The sequence below is a fragment of the Homo sapiens genome, chromosome 5 (genome assembly GCF_000001405.40).
Source record: "Homo sapiens chromosome 5, GRCh38.p14 Primary Assembly".
Lineage (NCBI taxonomy): Eukaryota > Metazoa > Chordata > Mammalia > Primates > Hominidae > Homo > Homo sapiens.
This window is the reverse complement of record NC_000005.10, coordinates 65,635,235-65,654,945: the sequence shown is the minus strand read 5'-3', so window position 1 is coordinate 65,654,945 and position 19,711 is coordinate 65,635,235. Positions and strand designations below refer to the sequence as shown.

At 37.4% G+C, this 19,711-nt stretch overlaps 1 protein-coding gene across 6 annotated transcripts in view, besides 1 other annotated feature; it reads right to left on the bottom strand.

Annotated features, from left to right (window-relative positions):
• The window catches only part of TRAPPC13 (trafficking protein particle complex subunit 13), a 41,207-nt gene that overhangs the window by 11,288 nt on the left and 10,208 nt on the right, over positions 1-19,711 (bottom strand). For 4 of the 6 annotated variants that reach the window (NM_001093755.2, NM_024941.4, NM_001243737.2 and 1 more), the window contains exons 2-7: positions 19,577-19,645; positions 18,903-19,002; positions 17,166-17,250; positions 7,764-7,891; positions 4,064-4,136; positions 2,401-2,445 (exon numbers count right to left, since the gene is read on the bottom strand). In NM_001093755.2, the coding sequence (NP_001087224.1) occupies positions 2,401-2,445; positions 4,064-4,136; positions 7,764-7,891; positions 17,166-17,250; positions 18,903-19,002; positions 19,577-19,645 (500 nt within the window). The remainder of the gene's footprint in view (positions 1-2,400; positions 2,446-4,063; positions 4,137-7,763; positions 7,892-17,165; positions 17,251-18,902; positions 19,003-19,576; positions 19,646-19,711) is intronic. The other 2 variants (NM_001365342.1, NM_001365343.1) reach the window with 1 other exon arrangement.
• Positions 15,450-15,897: a silencer, noted in NCBI's record as "fragment chr5:64934876-64935323 (GRCh37/hg19 assembly coordinates)". NCBI's record gives its function as "represses an EF-1alpha promoter that drives an FKBP-Casp9 reporter gene in an ReSE screen in HepG2 liver carcinoma cells {active_cell/tissue: HepG2}" and the evidence as "EXISTENCE:reporter gene assay evidence [ECO:0000049][PMID:32094911]".

Here is a 19,711-nt window from a genome sequence, read left to right as displayed (position 1 = left end):
GAGGGGCTTACATTATAGTTGCATCATGTCAGTCTCCTCTACTGGATGCAGGTCCCTTCAGAATTGGGAAGATGTTCTGTTTATATTTATCTTCGGTACCTGGCAGGTGACCAAATGTTTGAAACCTAGCTTCTAGTCTCACCAATCTGCCTGCAAGGCTTTTCTATCTTAGAAGACTATAACAAAGTTTCTCATGAACTTGTTTTCCTTTAGGTGATTCACATATTACAGCATTATTAGAAACAGTATCAAAATATATGTTTGAGACAGATGTGGGGCCAATAATATTAACTGTAAAAGGACTACAGCACAGAGCAATAAGCATCACTTACTGATATTACTGTGGTTTATTAACTCCTACAATCTACCTGAAATTCCTGGTTGGGGTCAACATAATCTGCCTCATGCTAGTGGCTGAACAGTATTTGTTTGTCTAATAGGTAATATTAAGTATCTTAGAGAGACCCAAAATGCTATTTGTTCACTCCTGATTTTTAAAGTGAGATCTATTTTCAAAAGTTCAGAATATTACTGAAATTATTTTGATTGAAGTTTGTTAGCAAGATTTAAAGATTATGTCAACATATAATGTTAACTGACAAAGGAAGCAAACAAAATTGTCGTGATTATAAAAATAGAATATTATATATAAGTGAATAAAGACTGCAAAAGAGTATGTATAATGAAAAATCAATTGGTGTGGTGGAATTGTGAATTTTTATTTCTTTATGGAGAGCATGTCACTTCTATAATGTTTATAGAAAAACTAGCAATTTTTAAAATTATTCACAAATCACTCTGAATATTAGCGTTATAAAACTAATTTACAGGTATCTTAGTGTACTACCATATTTTTAATGAAGAAAACCTAAAATAACTGAATATGTGACTCCTAGGAGCCAGTTACAGAAAATAACCCACCTATTGCCCTATTTTAAATTAATTTTCTAACAGAATAGTTAACATTTTCCCCTCATACTATAAATGAAATCTTTTCCAGCAAAAATTAGACTATTTAAATCTCACCATGCTGACTAGCTATACTGTAATTAATCAACAGTGTGGTATTAATAACAAAAAAGAGGGAATAAATGCGTATTACTCCAACTCACCTATCCCCCACAAAAGAAACATCAACTTTGTAAACATCTAGTAATCTTGATGATGCTTTTCCCTCTCGTCAAATAGGTATGCTCTTTCCTATGTACTTGATACTTCATGTCCATTTGTAACCCTGCTTGAATGCCTTCACTGCTTTGACACTTGTTTCCAACCTGCATTCCTTTCAGACTCCAATCCAGTTTTCCTTCTCTTCCATAAAGCTTCTTTAAACTATTCCAAGATCACATTCCCGAGAGCTCTTGCAGCACATCTTTTCGTATCATTCTCACTATATTCCATTCTAGGTAGTTTTGTTATTACATGCATTTTTTCTTTTCTCCTAATAGGTCTTTGCTGCAGGTTAGGTTCCTTAACTTTGACATCTTAGAAATCCTAGTTATAGTATAAATTTTACTGAGTAAAAATTCAGATTGTGGATGGTAAAAATAAATACCGAATTTGCCATGTGATTAAAAATGTCTGATCATTATCTGGTTTTAGAGTAGCAGAGATATAATCTTCATTTCAAAATACTGTATTTGGATATCTTTGAATTTATCACTGGTATGAAACACAAGATTTTGGGGCATAAGAGGGCTAGCAAGAGATCTGATTTTTCTGCAGCTCTAGAAGCCAAGATAAAACAGAATCTTAGAAAAGAAATCCAAGCAATAAATCCTTTCTCCTATGGCAAGTTCTTTTTTTTTTTTGGGCAAGTTCTATTTTATCTCTTTTTTTTTAGGGTAAAAGATAGAGTATCTTCTATTATAAGTTACTTCTCTTTTTGCCAAATTTGTTTTTCCCAAGGAGCTTTTAAAGCCATTACACCAAACTCAGCAACCTAATTCTGGCTGGCAAACTGACTACCCTGGAAATAATTTAATGTGCTAAGCTTCACTTGTCAGTATTTTTCCATGTGAATATTAAATCTATTTTGCAGCGTTAGATCTACTAATTCAATTTTTGTAAAATCCCGAACCACATGTAAATATTCAACAGATTGCTAGTGTAACAACCACCATTAAATGGAATGAGAGGGCAATCATTTAACGAAAGGAGATGAAAGCCTTATAAAATTAACGAGAATAAAAATCAAGACACATTGATTCCATGTAAGCTGAAAAAGATTATGAGACCTATAATAAAATTATTCAATTTTAACTGAAATTTGTGATTTTTTCAAATAATTTACAGTCACGTTGGCGATTTGCTTCAGTATTAGAAATGTATATAAGAGATTTTTAGTCAAATACGATCTTAATGTTTAATATGAAATCCCATTAAACACTCAACACTTACCTCTGCATTGTAAAATTTGGTTTTCACATCCAATGGTTTGAGAACCTGGTTAAATAAAGCATATCAATCAGGAGATTGTTATCATGTGACCATTTATTTATTTATTTAAATCAAATAGTGTAAGTTTGTCAGTCATTTTCCAATTTTAATTGTTAAAAGACTTTTCTAATAGGTATGCAATATTCTTCCAAAAAAAAAAAAAAAAAGAAAAGAAAAAAGAATCCCTAATGTATTTTTTGAGAGGCTACCATTATTTCTTGACTGGGTGATAATTACATTACATGGGTTTTTGCTCCATAATATTTTGTTAAACCAAACACATACATTTTATGTATTTTTCTATATCTATATTCACAAAAACTGTTTGCAAAAAAAAGCAACTGAGCTGGGTGCAGTGGCTCACTCCTGTAATCCCAGCACTTTTAGAGGCCAAGGCAGGCGGATCACCTGAGGTCAGGAGTCGAGACAAGCCTGGCCAACATGGCAAAACCCCGTCTGTACTAAAAATACAAAAATTAACTGGGCGTGGTGGCGGGTGCCTGTAATCCCAGCTACTCGGGAGGCTGAGGCAGGAGAATCGCTTGCACCCACAAGGCGGAGGCTGCAGTGAGCTGAGATCGCGTCATTGCACTCCAGCCTAGGCGACAAGAGTGAAACGCCATCTCAAAAAAAAAAAAAAAAAAAAAAAAAAAAAAAAAAAAAACTGAATCACGTTTTATTTTCTTTCAAAAAGCATACAAATGAATGATTCAGCAAAAGAATGGCAGATTTTTTTTCCCTATGAATAGTATTTTTTCTTCCACTTACAAAGGAATGAAAAAAACCATATACAGTATCATATTTAGATCTATATTTATAATAGACATACGTGGTATTCACATTTCCTCACCACCCCCCCCACATAAATGTGCTAAACCAGTGTTTTGAAACTATTTTTGATGGAAGCTGAAAACTGTATATTAATACAAAACTCAACTTAAAGTTCCAGTGATTCCTGGAGTCTTTGAAGGAAGCTCAGTCTACTCTAAGTCAATTGTCTCTCCTTTAAATTTCTTTAGAAATTTGATATTATTTACTCTCATTTTATCTGGACTTTACACTCATTTTATCCCTTGTCTACATTGTGTGTTTTCTCAGGCCATAAAAACAAGTTATTTACTTTTCGGAGACAGAGTCTTGTTCTGTTGACCAAGCTGGAGTGCAGTGGCGTGATCACAGCTCACTGAAGCCTTGAAGCCTGGGGTCAAGCGATCCTTCCGCCTCAGCCTCCCAACGAGCTAGGATTATAGGCTTGTGCTGTAGTCCTAGGTCATGTTGTCTGGGCTATCTTGAACTGGCCTCAAGTGATCCTCCCCACTTTGCTTCCCAAAGCACTGGGATTATAGGTGTGAGCCACTGTGCCAGACTCAGCTATTTTTTTCTTTTATTTTGAATAAACACCTTCAAGTTTCATTACAAAAACATGTTGGCAATGATAATTCTTCTGCTTTTATTCACCTTAATTTAGTCTGAGTTTAGACTGCTAGTCATATGACACATTCAAAAATATTGAGCTATTTGCTTTATTTGGAGCTTGTTTTCCCTGCAGATAAACGGGAATAACTGTATACTACCAGGAAGAAAAAGGCATATAAAAACTATTTACCATTGTCATATTCAATACCTGAAATTTGAAGAATTTTCTGAAATACATTTTTTCTCCAGCCTGAGTTGTATAACTCACAGCACATACCAAGCTGAAACAGAAAGATGTCTTAACGATTCTGAGTCATTTTTAATTTTAATAGTAAATCAAACACACCTCAATTCTACTAAGAAATTTGGAAAACACTTATATCTATGGTGTGGATGTGTGAGATTAGAGCAGGGGAAAAAGTCAGAATAGATATGGACATAATTACATGAACAACAAAGCTCTGATTAGTAAAATGAGATATAACATTTTTGGAGCACAAAATCAGAAACTTCCTGACTTCACCTGAAAGGTGAAATATATTCCAAAATAATTCTCAGAATAATCAAATATTTGAGTATATAAAACAAGTTCATATAAACTAGAAAAAAATATGGATTAAAAAAATTCCAGCTGGGCACGGTTGTTCATGCCTGTAATCCTAGCACTTTGGGAGGTCAAGGCGGGCGGATCACTTGAGGTCAGGAGTTCGAGAGCAGCCTGGCAAACATGGTGAAACCCTGTCTCTACTAAAATTACAAAAATTAGCTGGGTGTGGTGGTGGGCGCCTGTAATCCCAGCTACTCAGGAGGCTGAGGCAGGAGAATCGCTTGAACCCAGGAGGTGGAGGTTGTGGTGAGCTGAGATTGCGCCATTGCACTCCAGCCTGAGCAACAAGAGCAAAACTCCATCTCAAAAAAAAAAAAAAAAAAAAAGGCCAGGTGTGGTGGCTCATGCCTGTAATCCCAGCACCTTGGGAGGCCGAGGTGGGCAGATCACGAGGTCAGGAGATCGAGACCATCCTGGCTAACACGATGAAACCCTGTCTCTACTAAAAAAATACAAAAAATCAGCTGGGCATGGTGGCGGGCACCTGTAGTCCCAGCTACTCGGGAGTCTGAGGCAGGAGAATGGCGTGAACCCGGAAGGCAGAGCTTGCAGTGAGCTGAGATTGCGCCACTGCACTCCAGTCTGGGCGACAGAGTAAGACTCCATCTCAAAAAAAAAAAAAAAAATACAGATAGATTTCTTAACATAAATGCAATGAGAAATACTGTTATGTAAAAAATTTTAAGTTGAATCAAAAACACTAAAACAATTACAAAGCAGAAACAAACTAGGATAAAATACTTGTAACAATACGAGAAAGTGGTTACACTTTAATACTTAATATGACAAAGGGTTCCCATAAGTTAATAAGCAAAACACCAATAGATCACTCAAAACATCAGAAAAGGAATACACAGTTAAATCACAGTACCATAACTGGCTAACAAAAATGTGAAAATGTTCAGCCTCACAAGTAGTCAGAGAAACACGTTAAAATAATGAGGTAATATTTTTCCATTTATCAAGAGTTGAAAAAATTCTTTATAAGTGATATCAGAGTTGGTGAGGGTTTAGAGAAACTGTCTTTCTACCCTGCTAGTGGTTGGAAGAAATTTAACAATCTTTTAGTGAAAGAGCCTTAAAAATGCTTAATGTGTTCTCATAGTAAAACCACTTCAAATATTCCACATAAGGAAACATTAAGGTGTTCATCTCTGTGTTACTTTTAACAGTGAAAAACCAAAAATAAACATCCAACATTACAGTAAACAAAAAACACTGTACAATTGTGTTAGATGGAGTCATGTAAAAAAAAAGTTTCTTTTTTTGAGGCAGGGTCCCACTGTGTCACCCAGGCTGAAGAGCAGTGGCGTGATCATGGATCACTGAAGCCTTGACCTCCTGGGCTCAAGCAATCCTCCCGCCTCAGTCTCCCGACTAGCTGAGACTACAGGCATGCTCTATCATGTCTGGCTAATTTTTGTATTTTTTGTAAAGATGGGATTTCATCATGTTTCCCAGGCTGGTCTTGAGCTCCTGAGCTCAAGCGATCTGCCCACCTTAGCCTCCCAAATTATTAGGGATTACAGGCATGAGCCACCACACCCGGCCCAAAAACTGTGTTTCCAAAAAATACTGTCTATTGTGTGTGAAAATGTTCACACTGTATTTAAAAAAATAAAACTATGAGCAATATGGCCAAAATTTTGTAAAATATTATTTATACACATTTATTTTATATATATATGCAAAAAGACTGGAAAGAAATATATTAATATTTTAATAGTGGTTGGTTATATGGGGTGGTAACATTAGCAGGTAATTTAATTTCTCCTTTATACTTGTGCTGCCTAGTACTGACTAAGTAAGGCAGGGGCTAGGAAGAGGACTGATCAAAGCACAATACATGCCTTCTAAGTGCTCACAGTAAGAATAGTATAGCAAGGTAGAGGATCTAAAACTAGGTTTGGATTTGAGTTCTATGTCTTCTAAACTAGCTGCTTAATTGTACAAGTCTCATTTTCTGTAAAATGGAGATTTTACACATTTATTACCATTTCAATAAATACTGACTTCTGTTCTCTGCTAGATCCTTGGACTACAGCAGACTTCATGCATCTCCTACTTTAATGGGAAAGGCAGGGACAGGCACTCAATAAGTAAATACGAAACATTTTTTAAAATGATAAATGGTGGGTGCTATAGAAGATACAAAAAGTGGGATTTAATCTAGTCTAGCAGGTTAGGAAAACTTCTTGAGGAAGTAGTGCTGAATCTGAGATTTGAAAGAGAAGTAGAAGTAAACTAAATAAAATGCCATAGGTATTCCTTTGTAAGGGAAGAATGCATTTCAATCCATGGAGTCTGGAGATAAAAGAAGTCAAATAATGACTGCAGGGTGGAGAGGGAGGGATGGGTGGTGATGGTAAGAACTACTGTGGTTTGTTAAGAATTAGGTTGCAGAGAGCTTTGTAAAACATTTGCAAAGTCAGAATTTCCTAAGGACAATGGGCAATCACTGAAGAATTAAGTGACTTATACAAGATCACATAACAAATGATGAAGCTGAAATTTGAATTCTGGGAAGTCTGACTCCAAAGCCCAAAGAATATACATGAAAAAGTCCCTAAAATAGAGCTTGTCACCAAAATTAACTGATTAGATAACAGCTAATATTATATACTTCAATGGGCACAAAGAGAAGCAAAAGTGGTAAAGTAGAGATGAAGAAGAGATAAATGAAAGATATTCAGGAGAATTAATAGGATTTTGTGAACTGACTGGATGCAGGATTTCTAAAGGAGATGAAGAAGTCTAAAATTACTTCAGATGGCTAAAATTTTCATATTGCCTCTCAGACTGAAAGAAAAATAGAGCGTTCACATTCAGATACATACACAAGGCAGGAATACAGAATTTGATTTTTTTTCACAGTGTGCCTTATTTTGGTCCTACATTTCTGAGTTCTCAGGACAGAGTGCATATACCTGGTTAAATACAAAACTGAAAAACTGAATTTAAAAATAAACACTATGAACATCAGTTACTAGCATTTCAAAACACAATAAATTTACTTTTAGAGTGCTACCTGGGTTTTAAACATTTTGTACAGCTTTTCATTTTTTAGAGATTGTAGATGTAAAAAAATAAAACTAGAGATAAATGATGATAAACTGGATTTTCTCCCTACAAAACAAACATTTGGTTTAAACTTTATTTCTGGTAAACATGCCAACATAGAACATAAAATTCCTTTTGAAGTAGGTTCCTATGCTTCATGGTGAATGAAAAGAAAGCAAAAATTTCAAACAAAGGCATATATAAGTAAAAACCTTTGAGAACTAATAAAATTAATCCTTACATGTGTGTTCCAATTTCTTTGACTTCATGATGTATGACATCATCAATACAACAATCCGGTTTAAGTTCAGCCACTGCAGCATTGGAGGCTGAAAGATTTAAACGCTGAGAACTTGTCTGAAGATCAGCCTTGAAAGAAAGTTAAAAAAAAAAAAAAAGTCCAAATGAGACTGGTTACCTACAGGGTGTGCATGGCTATGAGTGGAAAGAATAGGGGAATAAGAATTAGGAAAGAAGGATGAAAGGGGGAGCAACACTTTTATGTGTAAACCTTTCTGTATAGCTCTGATGCTTAGAACCATGGCAATGGCACACCCCCCCAACCCCAAAAAAATAAATAAATAAGATCAAGCAGGAATTAGGGAGAATTCAAAATGGAATATAAACAGTAACAAATGAACCTAACTGCATTACAAATGAAGAATACAATCGGGCTATAGCAGAGGGAAGGGTAAAAGTGGAACTAACCTAAGTAAGTTTGGAAAACAAAATCTTAACTGTAATCTATGGCTAAAGACAAAAAGAATGGTACACAAATATACTCTAGCTACGACACGTGTTTTTTCACCATTTTATGTGTATACTAGGACAAAACAAAATAATACATTGTGGATAACAAGAGACAGGTTTCTTACCTTCAGAGAAAAAAAAAGGTACAAATAAGGAAGGGGGGAAGCTACAATGGTGTTGGACTGGAATTTGAGGCATCAGTATGAACACATGGTTTTTAAATATATATTCAGATGGACTTCACTGAAACAAATAGATATGTATGTATGTGCTAGTATATAACACTAAAAGATAAGTAATCGTCCAAAACAAAATTAGATGTCAGAGATCAATTCGTTTATAAGAGAACTAGAAAATGACATTAAAGCCACCAACTAAGAAAGCACTACCTCATCTAAAGTAGCACTTTCCCTCCACCCGATGATGCTCCATTATATTTCTTTTTTCTCCTTTTGAACATTTATCACTCTGTCTTAAAACTACCCTCCCCCTTATCTCAATTACTTTCTACCACATTCAACTTTTGCTTCCTTTGTAACATTTATCACAATCTATAATTACCTTATGTATGATTTTGTTTACCTGTTTCTTTCTGTCTCCCCTACCAGAAAAGTCTATGGAGGCAGGAACCTCGTCTTCTCTTGCTCACCACTATAGCATGGTGCCTGGCACATAGTAGGCAATTAATCAATATTTGTTGAATAATGAATGGATGAATTTATGATAAAACTTCCAAGGCAAAAAAAAAATTGAGGGAAAGCAAAGATCACATTAGGTCATGGGAATTAGTGGAGGTTTTTACATGAGAGTTAGGATTCTTTTAAGTTTTTGTTTCTTTTATAAAACAGTTTTTTGTTTGTTTGTTTGTTTGAGACAGAGTCTTGCTCTGTCACCCAGGCTGGAGTGCAGTGGCACCATCTCGGCTCACTGCAAGCTCCATCTCCCAGGTTCACGCCATTCTCCTGCCTCAGCCTCCCGAGTAGCTGGGATTACAGGCATGCACCACCACGCCTGGCTAATTTTTTGTATTTTTAGTAGAGACGGGGTTTCACCGTGTTAGCCAGGATGGTCTTGATCTCCTGACCTCGTGATCCGCCCGCCTCGGCCTCCCAAAGTGCTGGGATTACAGGCGTTAGCCACCGCGCCCTGCTAAAAAACAGTTTTGCAGTTAATTCTAACCCAACAATTTTATGTTAGACACTTTGAAATGGGATATTTATTACTGCTGTGTCTTTTGTTATATTCAGTTATAAAACAATAGTAGCTCACATTTATTTGGTACCTATTATGTGCAAGGCCCTGTTCTAAGCATATTATTCATTTAATCCCCATATCCTGAAGTAGGTATTAGTATTATCCCCATTTCACAGACCACAGACAATGAAACCAAGGCACAGAAAAGTAACAACTTTCCCAAGGTTATACAATTCATAAGTAATAAAGCTGAGATTCAAAATTCTTTTTTTTTTTTTTTTGAGACAGAGTTTCACTCTTGTTGCCCAGGCTGGCGTGCAATGGCATGATCTCGGCTGACTGCAACCTCTGCCTACCAGGTTCAGGCGATTCTCCTGCCTCAGCCTCCGGAGTAGCTGGGATTACAGGCGCCCGTCACCACATCTAGCTAATTTTTTGTATTTTTAGTAGAGATGGGGTTTCACCATGTTGGCCAGGCTGGTCTTGAACTCCTGGCCTCAGGTGATCTGCCCGCCTTGGCCTCCCAAAGTGCTGAGATTACAGGTATGAGCCACCGCGCCCAGCCCTAAAAGTTTTTAAACATTTTTTTTTTTTTTTTGGAGACGGAGTCTCGCTCTGTCACCCAGGTTGGAGTGCAGCAGCACCATCTTGGCTCACTGCAACCTCTACCTCCCAGATTCAAGTGATTGTCCTGCCTCAGCCTCCCCAGTAGCTGGGATTACAGGCAAGCGGCACTAAGCCTGGCTAAATTTTGTATTTTTAGCAGAAACAGGGTTACACCATGTTGGCCAGGCTGGTCTCAAACTTCTGGCCTCAAGTGATCTGCCGCCTCGGGCTCCCAAAGTGCTGGGATTACAGGTGTTAGCCACTGCGCCCAGATATAAATTCTTAAACATTTTTGAAATTAGAGAAAAAAAGAAATAATTGAACCCATTGGCTTTCTGTTGAATATGTTTTCCTGTGTGTCCTATGTGTCATTTTAATCATAACTGCAGTTTTTTGATAAGTAGGATTTGAAAAGGCAAAGAGGAAAGGGGTTGGGGGAACTTATTCTAAGTAAGTTGAACAGAGCTAGCAAAATACCACAAGTGTGAAAGCTCAAGATGTCTTCAGAGGACACTAAGAGTTTGGTATAATTGGCCAGGCATTGTGGCAGTTTCCTGTAATCCCAGCTACTCGGGAGGCTGAGGCAGAAGAATCACTTGAAACCAGGAGGTGGAGGTTGCAGACCCATATTGAAAGGGTCTACTTGGAATCAGGGAAATCACACCCAAAGACCAATTTTGAAACATAAAGAAAAAAAATCACCAGGACCTCCAGGAAAAATTATGAAATAACTTACAAGGCAAGAGAATTAGACTGGCCTCAATCCTCTCAAAAACAACATACAGAGCTGAGCAATAAAGGAGTAGCATTTTCAAAAAACATAAGGAAATAAAAATGTAAACAGAAGATTTTAAATCTAGCCAAACTAAACTTGAAGTATTGAAAAACATCTTTGAACAAGGGCTCAGAGAATATTGTACCCACAAGAACTTCCTGAGCAATCTACTTGAATATTTTTAATATTAAAAGCTGCAATTCACAATGACTAACAATAATTATAAATATGCATGAAACAGCATAGTCTTTTTTTTTTTTTCTTTCTTTTTTTTTTTTTTCTGAGACGGAGTCTCACTCTGTCGCCCAGGCTGGAGTGCAGTGGCACGATCTCGGCTCACTGCAAGCTCTGCCTCCCGGGTTCACGCCATTCTTCTGCCTCAGCCTCCCGAGTAGCTGGGACTACAGGCGCCCGCCATCACACCCGGCTAATTTTTGTATTTTTAGTAGACACAGGGTTTCACCGTGTTAGCCAGGATGGTCTTGATCTCCTGACCTTGTGATCCGCCCGCCTCGGCCTCCCAAAGTGCTGGGATTACAGGCATGAGCCACCCCACCCAGCCGAAACAGCAGTCTTTATAAAGCAAAATATATGAGATTTTAGAATATATATATAGAAATACACTAGTAATATGAGACAAACATGCCACTCTTAGTATAAGACGGATGAAGTTAACAATAAATATACAGAATCTAGCCCTAAACAACACAATTGATAAAATAGCTCTTATGAATATATATATATATCTCTAACTTTACAGCCAATAATAAAACATATACATTCTTCTCAAGTACACATGGAAAATTCATAAAAAATCAATATTGGGTCATAAGACATCATCAGTAAGTTCCATAAGCTGAAATATTACAAGAACAACGCTGATTGGAATGTAATAAAACTATAAATTATTAACAACAATTAAAATAGAAAAAAAAAAGCCTTTCCCCCTAAAAAGCTTTTCCATTAAACAACCCTTGGGTAGAAGGTGAAATACGACTGAAATTACAGAATTCTTTAAAAAGTAATGATAAAAATATAAAAAAAGTTTTTAATTTGGGCAATTCTGCAAAGTATTTTCACATTTATTATATTGTCTTAATGTAAGATACGGTGTTTGGGATGTTCAACAATGCTACTACCTCTTTACTGTTGTACAGTAGGCATCAGCTCTTTCTTCCACCATCAATTTTTAATTTTTAATTTATTTTTTAATTTGGTCTCACTACATTGGGCAACAGAGTGAGATGCTGTCTCCAAAAAATAAAAAATAATTAGCCAGGTGTGGTGGTATGCAACTGCAGTTACAGCAACTCGCGAGGCTAAGATGGGAGGATTGCTTGAACCTTGGAGGTGGAGGCTACAGTGAGCTATGATCACACCAACCTGGGCAACAGAGTGAAACCTCACCTCTTAAAATCAAAAGTAATGAGAATAAAAATGCTATGCATTTGAATCTTCAGGATATAAAAAGCAGTGAATCAGAGGAAAATTAACTTTTATCAATATAAATCAAAGAATCAAAATAAAAGAATAAAATTCCTAGCTAAAAAATGGTAGAAAAAGAATAAAGTAAATAAACAGAAGCATAATAAAAGAAATAGAAGCACAACTTAAAGAGAATAGAAACATATGGGATATAAGTAATTTTTTAAGTCTTGGATTTTTTTTGAAGTTAAAATACACAAACCAAGAGCTAGCTAACTTAATCAAGAAAAAAACCAAACCTAAGAAATGACCAGGGGAAAATGTTGCAATACAAGAAATTTTTTTTTTTTTTAGATGGAGTCTCACACTGTTGCCCAGGCTGGAGTGCAGTGGCACAATCTCGGCTCACCGCAACCTCCGCCTCCTAAGTTCAAGCGATTCTCCTGCCTCAGCCTCCTGAGTAGCTGGGATTACAGGCACTCGCCAGCACGCCCAGCTAATTTTTGTATTTTTAGTAGAGATGAGGTTTCACCATGTTGGCCAGGCTGGTCTCGAACTTCTGACCTCAGGTGATCCACCTGCCTCGGCCTCCCAAAGTGCTGGGATTACAGGCGTGAGCCACTGCACCCGGCCAACAGAAGAAAATTTTAAGAGCCTACTTTACAGACCTCTATGCAGATAAATGTGAAAATCTACATGAAATGAAATGGATTATTTCCTAGAAAAAAACAGCTTAACAAAATTGACACCCTTAGAGATAAACTGCTTAAACATACTATATTCATAGGAAAAAAAAAAAAAGAAAAAGTGTTATCAGGGAGCTTCCCCATTTTAAAAAAGAAAAGAACTAGCTCATATGATTTTGCAGGGAATTCTACAAATCGTTCAAAGAATAGGTAATCTAAATGATCCACAGTTCTCTGTATTTGTTTTGTCTTGTTTTTTTTGTTTTTTTTTTTTTCTCAGACAGGGTATTGCCCTGTCATCCAGGCTAGGATGCAGTGGCACAATTATAGCTCACTGCAGCCTCGAATTCATGAGTTCAAGTGATCCTCCTGCCTCAGCCTCCCAAGTAGCTAGGACTACAAGTATGCGCCACCATGGCCAGAGAATTTTTAAATTTCTTTTTTGTAGGGACATCGATCATTATATTCCCCAGGTGAGTCCTGGGGATCCTCCTGGATTCAAGGGCTCCTCCTGCCTTGGTCTCCCAAAGTGCTGGATTACAGCCATGAGCCACTGAGTCTAGCCTGATGCACATATTGTTCCAAAGCACTGAAAATACTGGAAAAACATCCGAAATCTTTTATTAAGCAACCATAATACTGACACCTAAAACCTGATCAAAAGACAACACTCACACAAATACAGGTCAATATCAAGCTGTGCTTCATGACCTATATCCTCTTAAGTGATTCTGATGTCACAATTGGCTTATCTGGCCAGATATGGTGGCTCACATGTGTAATTCCAGCACTTTGGGAGGCTGATGCGGGAGGCTTGCTTGAGTTCAGGAGTTCAAGACCTGCTTGAGCAACATAGCAAGACCTTGTCTCTAAAAAATATTAAAAAATTAGACAGGGATAGTGTCACACCCCTGCAATCCCAGCTACTCAGGAGGCTAAGGCAGCAGGATCCCTTGAGCCCATGAGTTTGAGGTTATAGTGAGCTATGATCATGCTACTGCACTCCAGCCTGGGTGACAGAGCTAGATCCTCTCTCAAAAAAAAAAAGAAAGAAAAAGAAAAATAGCATTATTATATATCATGAGTCTGAATGTCTAGTTGAGCCTAAGACCCCTAGTGAGTACTACACTGCTTATAATTATTATTATAAAAGTGAATAAAGGCATGAAATATAAAATCATGTTTTAGAACATGCATACTACTGTATTCTTTGATCTTTATAGTACTGACATCTTAAAGTATATGCCTTTGCTATTTTATTAATCTCTTATAAAAATAAATTCAATATTTACTGAATTTACTGAATTGCCAGTATTTACTGAATTCCAAGAAATTCAATATTTACAACATAGAAAGACAAAAGTATATGTTCTCAAACTTTTGAAAATCAGATCTTTTCACAATCGAATGTAGAGGTTGGCAAGCTTTTTCTCTGAAGTCATTAGCAAATATTTTAGATTTTAGAGGCCATACAATCTCCGTTTCAACTATATACAACTCTGCTGTGGTAGCTGGAAATCAGCCACAGATAAAACATAAACAAATGAGTATGGCTGTGTGTCAGTAAAGCTTTATTTAAGGACACTGACATTTGAATTTCTTTTTTGTTTGTTTGTAGAGGCGGTGCCTTGCTATGTTGTGTAGGCTGGTCTCAAACTCGTAGCCTGAAGCAATCTTCCTGCCTTGGCTCCCAAAGCACTGGGATTATAGGCAGGAGCCACCACACCTGGCCTGAAATTTGAATTTCATGTAATTTTCACAAGTCACAAAATATTCTTTTCAATAATTTGAAAATGTGAAAACCATTCTTAGTTCAAAAGCCTTATAAAAACAGACAATGGACCAAATTTGGTCTTTGGGCTGTAGTTTGTCAACTCCTAATTTAATGAAAGGCAGAGACCCCATCCATATATGACAAACATATGTACGTGTATGCACAAATTTGCATCCAGTTTCTGGAAGTTGGGTCTATTTGCTCTCTAACGTCCTTGTTAACTTTAAAACTCTATGATCATTTTCAAACTCATTCTAATTAGAGGTCCTTTTTGGAATACTCCAATTACCTGAACTCATCACTCTAAGACAGGTTTTACAAAAACCTCTCCCCCACATACTGTGAGTTCTTACCTTCTTTTTGCTCTTTTTCTTTTGAAGAAATTTCAGGTCATTAGCGGAGTTAGCATATTCTATCTTTTAATTTCTACACTACTTCAAAGGTCTTCTAACTGTTCCATTTTCTACAAAGCATCCCACACAATGTGCTCATATCAGTCTTTCTAACACAAAGAGTGCTCAAAAGCCAACTGCCTGCTGTTTTTTATTTAATTTTTTTCAGTGACAGGTCTTGTTCTGTAGCCCATGCTGGAGTGCCCAGGCAAAACTCAATGCAGCCTCAAACTCCTGGGCTTAAACAATCCTCCAGTTTCAGCTTCCTGAGTAGCTGGGACTACAGGTGTGTGCCAGCATGCTCAACTACTTTTTAAATTGTTTGTAGAGATGGGAGTCTCGTTATGTTTCCCAGGCTGGTCTTGAACTCCTGGCCTCAAGTAATCCTTCTGTCACAGCCTCCCAAAGTGTTGGGATTCTGGGTATGAGCCACTGTGCCAGGCCTGTTTTTTTTTTTCTTAATTAATTTTTTTGTCCATTTTAAAAAATAATTTTTCAAAAAAGGTTAAATAAAACCTTAGCCTGGCTTTCAAGATGCTCTATTGTATGGCTACTGATATGGTTTGACTCTGTGTCCCCACCCAAATCTCATCTTGTAGCTCCCGTAATTCCCATGTGTTGTGGGAGGGGCCTGGTGGGAGATAATTGAATCATGGGGGTGGGTCTTTCCTGTGCTGTTCTCATGACGGTGAATAAGTCTCATGAGATCTGATGGTTTTATTTTTATTTTTTGGGGGATGGAGTATTACTCTGTCACCCAGGCAGCCTGGAGTGCAGTGGCACAGTCTTGGCTCACTGCAACCTCAGCCTCCCAGGTTCAAGTGATTCTCCTGCCTCAGCTTCCCAGGTAGCTGGGATTACAAGCACACGCCACCACTCCTGGCTAATTTCTGTATTTTTAGTAGAGATGGTATTTCACCACGTTGGGCAGGATGGTCTCGAACTCCTGAACTCAAGTGATCCACCCGCCTTGGCCTCCCAAAGTGCTAGGATTACAGGCATGAGCCACTACGCCTGGCTGAGATCTGATGGTTTTAAAAATGGGAGTTTCCCCGCACAAGCTCTCTCTCTTTGCCTGCTGCCATCCACGTGAGACATGACTTGCTCCTCCTTGCCTTCCGCCATGATTGTCCCCAGCTACGTGGAACTATAAGTCCATTAAACCTCTTTCTTTGGTAAATTGCCCAGTCTTGGGTATGACTTTATCAGCAGCATGAAAATGGACTAATACAGCTACTATTCCTCTGTACCACCTTACGGACTCTTACCAAGTGAAATTTGTTCACTGTTAAAAGAACACATGTGTACCACTATGTCTCTGCCTCTGATTACCATGTCTCCCTTGCCTTGTTATCTGTATCCTCCCATTCTTTCAAGATCCTCTTCGCATTCCCTCTCCCCCAAGAAACCTTCCAGATTGACATAATCTCCAGTGATCTTTCATCTTCCATGTTAATGACATACATTAACAAATACTAAACTGCTATTTAGCTTTGACTAGTACATTTTCTCACCCAAGCAATCACAAATCTTGTGGAATAGGAAAAATGTTTTCATGCCTAACATAATACTTTATAACTGTAGGCATTCATTAGTGCTTGTTAATGACAATTAAAAATTATTGTATCAAACGTGCATTTAATGAAGTGCCAAAAACATAATAGATATAAAAAAACCTTTTTTTCTTTTTTTTTTTTTTGAGATGGAGTCTAACTCTGTCACCCAGGCTGGAGTGCAGTGGCGTGATCTTGGCTCACTGCAACCTTCACCTCCCGGGTTCAAGCCTTAGCCTCTCCTGCCTTAGCCTCCCGAGTAGCTGGGACTACAGGTGTGCACCACCACACCTGGCTAATTTTTGTATTTTTAGTAGAGATGGGGTTTCACCATGTTGGCCAGGCTGGTCTTGAACTCCTGACCTCAGGTGATCCACCTGCTTCAGCCTCCTAAAGTGCTAGGATTACAGGCATGAGCCACCATGCCCGGCCTAAAAAAAAACCTTTGTTAAAGACTAAAATACATCCCAAGTAAGAATGTTACTTACTTTTACTAATATGTCTTTTACAACTTGATTGCTATCATTATGAACGCTGATATAACTGGAAAAGGTCTCTCCCAAAAATATATTCCTGTAAAATAAAATAAGTATTTAGGCAGAAATCCATTCAGGTTTTTTTTCTTTTTTTTTTTTTTTGAGACAGAGTCTCGCTCTGTCACCCAGGCTGGAGTGCAGTGGCACGATCTAGGCTCACTGCAAACTCCGCCTCCCATGTTCACCCCATTCTCCTGCCTCAGCCTCCCGAGTAGCTGAGACTACAGGCACCCACCACCACGCCTAGCTAATTTTTTGTATTTTTAGTAGAGACGGGGTTTCACCATGTTAGCCATGATGGTCTCGATCTCCTGATCTCATGATCCGCCCGCCTCAGTCTCTCAAAGTGCTGGGATTACAGGCGTGAGCCACTGTGCCCATCAGGTTTTACATTAAATAATCTGTTTGAGAATCACTAAGAACTTCAAATGGAGAAACATTTACTGAAGGATAGAAATCTGGTGAAATACTGCTTCAACATTCCTTTGTTCACACTAGGCCACTCATTCATTACCTAGTGCAATTCAAAATACAGACGTAATCTATAGAACATGATATATCTTGGCCTTTGACTACTGTACAAAATGCCAACCTCACTAGAGATAAGACTCATTGAAATTAGACCTATGCTAAAGTCTTAGGATTTGTATCTGAATAGGTTAGAGAGAGCCAAGTTTCCATTCTTGAAATAACTTATTCCCTGAATCTAGAAGAGATCTAAGTTACTGATATTGGGGTATTTTTACCAATTTATTTTATTTCCTAGGTTACTTGAATAAAAATCACCAGTGGTTTTATTTTAGTTTTATACTTTTTACATGAATATATTTCCCAGTTTTTCAAGACACTAGTCAATGACCACATTCTGTAAAACTATAAAAACAATCTGTAAAATTTCTTTTTGTCTCAAATTCTGTCTGTTGCAAACAGAGTGGAACCAGGGGCTTCTACCTTATTATTAATCTAGAATAATAATACAGCTAAGGATAACAGAAGAAATAAATTTAGAGTTCCTAATTAGCTGACAAGTCTGATAACTCATTTTGGGAGAGGACTATGATGCAAAAAAACAAAGACTGGCTTCTGAAAAAGATGTTTACATTAGTAGTTAAAAGACTATGTGGCCATTACAAAATATAGTAAGATCTAAAGAAGAAAGTTAAAATTCTATTATGCTAGGAACCACTATTAACATTTTATTTTGGTATATATCTTTTTTTTTTAATAACAGAAAGCCATAATCACATAGTATGATTTTTTAATAATATTTTTGCCCCTCAAATGTATCATGTCCTAGGCGTGGTGGCTCATGCCTGCAATCCAAGCACTTTGGGAGGCTGAGGCGGGTGGATCACCTGATGTCAGGAGTTCAAGGTCAGCCTGGCTAACATAGCAAAACACGGTCTCCAATAAAAACACAAAAATTAGCCAGAGCGGTGCGCACGCCTGTAATCCCAGCTACTCGGAAGGCTGAGGCACGAGAATTGCTTGAACCCAGGAGGTGGAGGTTGCACTGAGCTCAAATGGCACCACTGTACTCCAGCCTGGGCAATAGAGCGAGACTCCATCTCAGAAAAAAAAAAAAAAAGGTAAATGTATCATGAGCATTTCCCCATCCCATGGTTCTGTTTTGAAAACATAATTTGTAATGGCTTTACAAGGTTTCTTATGTGAATATGTCATTCTTACCCAAAATTCTGTGGTAAAGTCAGCATTTCTCCCAACATTAAAACTTCTGCACCATTAACGGTTGAAGGATCATCTCTCATCAGCTGGTTAAAGAGATCTCCTGAATGAAGAGAAAAACATAAAATTCTAACATCTACCCTTTAAATAACTTTTACTTATATAAAGAAATAGCTGGGAGAGATATTTTAAAAAACAACCTCTTGACAAAGATGATATTTAAAAAGTCTAACTTCTAGATTTTAATACAACAAAGCATGTCAAAAAAATTCTGATCTCACAGGGAATGGAAACTTTAGAAACAAAGAAAAATGTACGTCATGAGATAGAAAATATACTAGAGAAAGCCCCAATAATTCTTAAAAAAAAAAGGGAATGCTAATACATACATTGATGCAACATTTGAGGATAAAGGCAATTTTAATAGTATTATGAATATGAATGTATCTTAAACTGTCTCATACTGCCATAGGATATCAACATAATTTGGACTTGTAGAGTATAAGTAAGGCCTGTTACTCAGATGGCCACCTTTCACATGATACAAAAATAGGCAACAAAGAATCCAGCAAATGGTTAGCATAAAATTTACAGGGCTAGGCTTAGTCCAAGGTAATGCAGGCAATTCAGGTTTCAACCTTTCCCTAGGTGCAAATAGAGGAAAGCATGTGCCATACCAGGTAAGTCTTTCTCTTCACATGTTACTGGGATATTGGTGAATAAAGTAGGCTTAGTCAGCCGCATCACTGTGAAGTAAAAAAGTAAAAGAAAACAAAACATTAATACTGCTTAGGGTTAATATTCTCAAGTCT